This window comes from Homo sapiens, chromosome 2 (assembly GCF_000001405.40).
Source record: "Homo sapiens chromosome 2, GRCh38.p14 Primary Assembly".
Classification (NCBI taxonomy): domain Eukaryota; kingdom Metazoa; phylum Chordata; class Mammalia; order Primates; family Hominidae; genus Homo; species Homo sapiens.
This window is the reverse complement of record NC_000002.12, coordinates 183,672,041-183,679,947: the sequence shown is the minus strand read 5'-3', so window position 1 is coordinate 183,679,947 and position 7,907 is coordinate 183,672,041. Positions and strand designations below refer to the sequence as shown.

The following is a 7,907-nucleotide window of genomic DNA, read 5'->3' as shown; positions in this document are numbered from 1 at the left end:
GTAATATGAAATATATTATGTATTATATATTACATATATACCTGTAATTTAACAAATTTACTATAGCTATTTTAAACATTAATTGTTGATAGCTAAAATATATGGATATCCTATAGGTTTCTTCTCTTGTCTGATTTTTTTCTCTTGGTTATTCTTTGTATGGTTTGGCTAATATTTTTGATTGCTGTACACTAAGAACAAAGATCTGTATAGGATGTAGGTGGTATTTTATTCTATCATAAAGAAGACTTTTCTTTGCTGCATTTATAGAGTCAGGGAGGACTACCAATTAGATACTGAGCTAATCTGAGCCTGCCTTGAAGTTTAATAAGGCTCACCTATCTCTAATTTTCACCCATTTTTAGACTATGAGCCTCTAAGGCTTTCACTTGAGAGCTTGCAGGGCTGTTGACCTTTGGTACCAAGAAAATATAACAAATTTTACTATGCTTTTTCAGAGGCTTTTACCTGAGGCCCCTTGTAACTGCAAATTATGACAGTTTGCCCCTTTTTCTAGAGCCTTTAACTATAGCCTTATAGTTACAGGGACTCCTCTCATATGTGAGTCTTTGCCTTTATAGGACTACTAGATGATGGGTGATACAGTTCGGCTTTGTATCCCCACCCAAATCTCATCTTGAATTATGCGGGGGTCTGTCCTGCAGACCCCAACTGCACAACAGATGAGACACGTACTCAGACACGGATATTCAGTGAAAAAGCGGGCCAGGGGGCTGATGGCACTAGGGCCTGAAGAGTTTGCAGCTCCTCTAAGCTGGCAATGCTCACATTTATTTAGTACAGATTTAATTGACAAAGACTTTGAGTCAGCACACCTGTAGGTAATTAACCTGGGCATTCTCCCCTGGAGAGGGCCATCCTGTCCGTGAATGATCAAAGGTTGGTCTTAGGACCACATGAATAAAACAGCTGTTTAGATAAACTACTCTACCTTCTTTTGTATCTGTGCCCTAAGCTCTCTGGCTCCTGAAAGGAAAATCTGGCTGTCTTCAGCCAAACTGCCTGAAGCTATGCAAAGCCCCCTGGTTTTCCAAGAAGGTTTGCTTCTTTCTATTCCTATAATTTATTCTGCCACTCTGACTGATCTCCCACATAATTATAATCCCTAGTTGTTGGGGGAGGAACCTGGTAGGTGATTGGATCATGGGGACAGTTTCTCCCATGATGTTCTTATGACAGTGAGTGAGTTTTCATGAGATCTGATGGTTTTAAAAATGTTTGGCAAGTTTCTTCTTCACTCTCTTCTCTAGCCTTGTGAAAAAGGTGCTTTTCCCTTTCCACCATGATTATAAGTTTCCTGAGGCCTCCCCAGCCACCCAGAATTGAGTCAATTCAACCTCTTTCCTTTATAAATTACCCAGTCTTGGGTATTTCTTTATAGCAGTGTGAAAATGGACTAATACAATGGGAAGTTCTGTTTTTAAGGCCTTTTTTGGCTTAGCCCTTTAGTCTTCAGCATTGTAGTCTCAGGATTTGGAAAACAAGTCTTTTGAGAGGAAACAGTCTTTGTTTCAGGTCCTTCAATCTTGAATTTTGTCACTTCTTCATATCACTGCCAAAACTTTTGCTGGTATTTCTCTTCTCTAGAAGTAGCCCTCTGTTTGTGCCGAGTCCAGATGTGTAGCCTCTAGCCCTCACCCAGAATTCACAAAGGCCCTAAGGGTAAAAGTGGTTGTAGACTCGCAACTTACCTCTGAGAAGTTCAACCCCCTTCATAACTTAATGTCTCTAGTTATTATTTCTTTTGCAGCATTCTGATGCCTTTAAGAATATAACTTTTGTATTCAATATTGGTTTTATAGTTCTTGGTGGGATCTTCGGCTGCTATAATGATTCCACACCACCCCACCTTAGCAACCTCATTATTTGAATAAATGTGTGCATGACAATGTGCTAATTTTACCTTGCCAAGGAATAGAACTTGATTTTTTCCTCAAGGATTTAAAAATTGTTGTAATTACAGGATATATGCAATAAAAGAAAACTAATAAAACAGAACACTGTGAGCTAACTTGCTAATAAATTGTATGAGTGATACAATTAGGAGGCCAAAAGAGATTTCATGTTCTAAGATAAGAAAGGCCATCTTATAAAGTTAACTTTAAGGAAAGGGTATCATGAGTTAAGAAGATCAAAATAATGCTTGAGAATTTTAATCTATATATTAATATATAATCTATATAATTTGGGGCCTAAATAAACCACTCAAGCAAATAAAGATATAAAGCTAATAACAAATAGTTGAGATATCTTCTAATGCTGTGTCTTATGGAATTGGCCTTCTATCATATTTTGATAAAATTAAAAGTAATATTTTTATTGATCCTGTAGTATGTATCTTTCCCAACAATAGCATTATTAAAATCTTAATAATGTAGCCAATAGTAAGAGGAGCAAATCCTACTTCTTCTCTCAAGAATGAAAATCACATAATTTATGACAAAAGTTAAGAAGTCTACCAAATATCTAGGTAAGAAGAGAGACTTGATTTTTGGTCTGCGATATTAAGGCTTAATTTCTGCAAAGAAATTTTTTAAAATGCAACAGAATTATAAATATTGACATGAAGTAAAAAAAAAAAAAAAGGAAAAGAGAAGAAATTGAGGAGGGTGAACTCACTGCTCCCTGTCTGAATTTTCTGTGGTTCAGTTCAGATTGGCTTTTTAATGTCTATGAGTCTTATTTATGTCAATGAGAAATATTAGAAAAATACAATAACATAATCCAAGATACTTTCAAAATACATAAAGGCTATAAGGAAATGAGAAGAAAATGGTAATGAACAACAACAGATGTTTCTTTCTTGGATGAGTAATTAGAGATAGAAATAGCATCTTGCAGAAAGCAAAAAGTTTTTATCACCAACTCTTCAGGAATTCAGTAAGATATTCGCAAAAATGCATACATTTTAAAACTTTAAAAAATGAAGAGGAAATGTGGATCTATAAGCTCCAAGAGTTTATGTGTTGGTCCCAATCTTATATACATTGATGGACCAGGCAAAAGCCACAGAAGTCTCTCCTTAACAACATGTTTCTGTATCTGAAATTATATAATAATAATTTCATTCCTTTGGGTTGAAGTGTGAATGTCTGTATTCCACTGTATACTATTTTTGGGTAATATGTAACTTTTTTAAAAACTAGCTTTTCCATGTTGATGTCTCAGTAGGAAAATGTGAAAGAATAGTTGGTTAAAAGGAAGGGCATGTGGCATAGGATATTTTGCAGTAAAGAGGTAAAATGCAGGTTTGTATTACTTGAATACTTATATCCACTATTCATATACTATTGATAGCTCTTACTAAATCCAATACCAGGCACATCAGATACTTCAGAAAGGTACTATGAGATGGGAGAATGAGGCTAGGATAGGTGAATGGTGAAGTAAAAATGACCAACTTCTCTGGCTGTTTATTTTGGTCTGCTCAGCCTTACTATGTGAAGAAAAAAATTTGATGTAGAATATCATTCCTTTAGTTTATTCTTCTGCATAATCTATTTGCTCTTAACATTACTTTTTGAAAGTTTGACCAGCTGCCTGATTCTTCTGTTGTGCTTTCTCTTTCCTTCCCTGTTCAGAGCTCCATTTCTGGCAACTCCACACCCCTCCTGCCCCCAAACCCCCATAGAAAGAAAGTGGACAGTGTTGTGAATGTTGAAGTGTTTGACACCCTCGGGATTTTAATTTCAAAATTGCATTATGTAGGTCAATCTTATTAACTAAGCCACATGGTTGAAGGCTATAATTATGATTTCTGTCATTAAATTTGAGTCATTTGGAGAAATTGTGTTTAAGTTTATATTTTTCCATTTTTATCCATCAAAGACAATCTTACTACCCTACCAATATTGGATCCTCAGCATTAGACACTATGGTCTCAATGTTGTTTTGCCTGTGTGTTTGTGTGCATATCTGTGTCTGAATTACAATACTTCGCTTGTCTTTCTGGAGTTTTATGGGCCTGGGTTTGTGGGTCTCTGCCTGCTTCTAGTAGTGTTAACAGAACACATGCAGTAGCCAGGATCAGCGTGTTATTAAAGCAGTGATCATCACTTTAGTGCTTTTTCTAATGTAACCAAGGTTAAATCATAGTATTTTGTTATACTTTACATACTTCTTAATTTTTATTTTATTTATTTTATCTTTTAACTGTAAGGTTTTTTATTATTCATTGATATTGGGGAAATGTAAGTACTGAGAAGTATTCACACATTTTTCATGACAGAAGGGAAGAAAATAGTTGTGTTTTGTTAGGCTGTATATTGGTTTTATTAGATAATTTTTTATTAGTTTTTCACCTCTGTGACACTATGCAGTCACAAAAGTATAATCATTAGTGTGCACATATCTTAGATGCTTTTTATATTTTAAGCTCTATTACTACAAAAATGCTAATATTTTAAACACAAAAATACTTAAATTTCTATTTTTGCATTTAATAATGAAACTTCTAAATTGTTTTCCATGCAGATAACTGTATAATGATGTGTTTGTAATCGGTGTCCAAATTATAATGAAAGGCCCAAAATTGTAGTAATATTCTAGACCACGAGAAATACCTGGGTCAAATGCTTTACTTCTATTGCTAGATTTTAGTCCTAGAAAATGAAGGAGTACTTAAACACACCATTTCACAGTGATGCAGCCCCACTGTTTAGCATAGGTGTTTCTCTAACAGTGATCCATTGAGGAGGTATAGGGTTTAATTGTCCAGAAACTTACATTTTACCTCTCTGATCTCGTGGATTCATTTTAGTACTTTAATAAAATTTGTAGCAATGTGGGCTAACTCTTGAGATTGTGAGAATTATATTCTCAAGTGTATATGGCAGTCTATATTTTTTTTCTTGATATTTGCTACACACATTAAAGGAATTTTCATTTATTTTCTCAAATATCTGATGAAATAAAATTCTAACAAATATCCAATTAGATTGTAATGTTCATTTAAGAAAAGATTTCCTCCATCTTTTCTTAAAAGATGGATTTCATCCATCTTCTTCCTCCAAGTGTAATGCATCAGAAAGCATTGCTAAGAAAAGGTCTAACCGTCTAACCCTTTACAATGAATCTGACTCATTTTTCTTTTTTCAAGGGATGAAAAACCTGAAAAATATTGTAGAACCAAGATCTAAGAAAGTTATCTTAATAGTTTTTAAGAATTTTTAGCCAAGTAACATTCAAATATAAAATCTTAAGAAATTAATTGAATTATGTTGCTTAGATTTCTAAAGTTATATTTTGGAACTCTTTGTTTGCTTTATAAATCTGAAAAGTCTAAAAGTCTTATTCAATCTGTGTTGGGTTTTTTCCCTGAAAGCACTGAAGTTAAATGATTTTTTAAAGTTGGTTTCTTTCAACTTTGGTGAGGTAAGGAGCGGGTACATTTGACATATTCCATTTCTAGAAATAGCAGACTAAGTTGTTTTAAATCGAAGCTCCTGTTGAGAACAAGTAGAAAAAATGGACAAAAATTTTTTTAATTGAAATTTTCTTGAGGACATTGAGATGTACTGTACCAGCAAGGATTTGCAGTCTAACATTCAGGAGAAAAAGAAAACCAGCCCAGCAAGATGAGGTTGACATTTTCAGGCAAGGAATGTGATTAGAGTTAGGGGGATGTTTCATAATAAGAATTAATCATCCGGGAATATATAACAGTTCTAAATTTGTACATAACTAGTAACATGGCTTTAGATATAGTAAAGGCAGCATTGACAGAACTAAAAGGAGAAATGCACAAATCTACAATTATCATCTAAGATTTCCATACACCTTAACTTGTAACTAATAGAACAATCAGATACAACTAAGTATTTAGAAGACCTGACCACCAGAGTAACTCCACAGTGCCTCTCTGGAGCTGCCTGTATGATCAAACAGCTCTGTGTGTCTTCTGGAGATGCAGCTGGCAACTTGGCACTGTGTTACCTGCCTGTGCTTTCTTCCTCACCTACCTCATTTCTCTGTCTCATTTACTTTTGCTGCTTTTGTATTGCTTTTACACTACACTGGATTAGCATATTGTTTCCATTTTATAGGGGGCTCATATTGAGAAAGAATGTTATTCTTTAATAAGAATATTTATTTGAAAAATATAGTTACTTCAACACCTTCTTACCAAACAATGTTACCCCAGGATGCTTAAGCTCTCTCTATAGGTGATAAGGAGATTAGAATATTAACAACAACAATAAAAAGCAAGTGTTGATCAGTAGTTAACTATGGCATGAGCATAAAACTTTACCAATATTGTAAAAAGAACAGCATTAAAATATCAGTGTTCCCAACATTACTGCCACAGTACTGTGCAAAAGCAGCATTCTTACTCCATAGAATGAATACAAAAAAGAAGATGTATGTGAAGAGTTTTCTGTGGAGTTAAGAGTATTTGAAAAATAAATAGTATTTAGCAAAAACTATTGTGGGAAAAATTAGGGAATTTCCAGACATGAAATATTGATTAATTTTGAGGTAAAGTACTGTATAATGTGCTATAATTAATGAGAGTTCTAAAAATTTAAGCCAGATGATTTACATAAATAGTAAAATATAATTTAACCCCAAATAAAATTCCATAAAGTATTTTCATGTACATTAATTTGGGAGAGTAGATTTTATAGCAGACAAGTGCCTGAAGAGTTAGCATATGGTCCAAAATGTAGCTCTGGGAAAACACTAAATTCTAATCTGCTCTCTTTTTTAGTTGAATAAATGTCTTCCCTAAACAATTTGGTCTTTTAATTTCTTGATTTATTTATATTCTTATATTTAATGGGTATATACGTTTCAGAAATTCTTTGAAAATATAAATCCAAAATAATGCATATAGCATCTGTATGGGTAATTCTGGAATATTTATTTTACCCCCCTAGCTCAGTCTATTCATTGTTCCAGGGTGGCTTTTCCTGTACCACTGGGAATATTCCTCTTGAAAGCACACTATCACCTCAAATTCGGTATATCTGCAAATATAGAAGTCATAAATCATTTTCTACTCCTAATGAACCTCTATTGCCTGCAATATCATATTCAAACCATTTATCTTTCCAGGTTCATCTCACAGTGATCCCCTTCACTTGCCCTGAACTTAATACAACAGTGGTATTAAATATTATCTAAAAATGATCTGTATTTTCTCACCACTTTGTTTCCTTTCATATGGTTCCTTTCGCCTGATGACACTGCTTCCAAAATATACCTTTGGTATACTGTGAACTTCTGTTTTTATAGCCTCTTCCTAATGGTTTCCAAACCCCTCAAGCCAAAATGTATTTTCCATATTCCTGCATACATTTTGTTATTATTGGTGAACAACTTTTATTCTTGTAGGCTAATTATTCTTTTAGGTCATTTAGAATATTTTATTTATCTTGATCTGTTTCATAATGTGTAGTATAATGCTTATTAGTAAGCTTGTGAAAATGTGGAAGTCTGGGTTTCCTCATAAACTGACAAGTAATATAGTGTCATATATTTTTTAATGTACATACATTGAAAGCTATTTTGAGAAACAGGCAGGTTTTTCTATCTTACTGAGGAAAGGTTTACTTGGGGAGTGGCCAAACAACGGTTATTTAATTCCCATAAAGTATTATCATAATGTCTAATTCTCTGATTGAAATATAAATATCCATTGATGGATGTGTGTTTTTGCCTGACTGACAGCTGTCAACTAAAAAGGGACCATATATCACGGTGAATAGGGATGCTGATCATGCTAAAAACTTAAGGAAAATCATTTCAGTATTTAAAAAAATAGTTATGAAAGTTAAGACTTCAGTTGAAATTCTTGAAGTATACCAGAATCTTCAAAGGTAAAACATCATCTTAAGTCATTTATTTTATGGCGTATCTCTCAGAACTTGACAACTATAATTTAT

General features: G+C 33.7%; 1 annotated feature.

Moving 5' to 3' along the window:
• Window positions 483–1,235: an enhancer, noted in NCBI's record as "OCT4-NANOG hESC enhancer chr2:184543441-184544193 (GRCh37/hg19 assembly coordinates)". NCBI's record gives its function as "activates a minimal SCP1, AML or CMV promoter by ChIP-STARR-seq in naive and primed H9 embryonic stem cells {active_cell/tissue: H9 hESC(naive and primed)}" and the evidence as "EXISTENCE:reporter gene assay evidence [ECO:0000049][PMID:30033119]".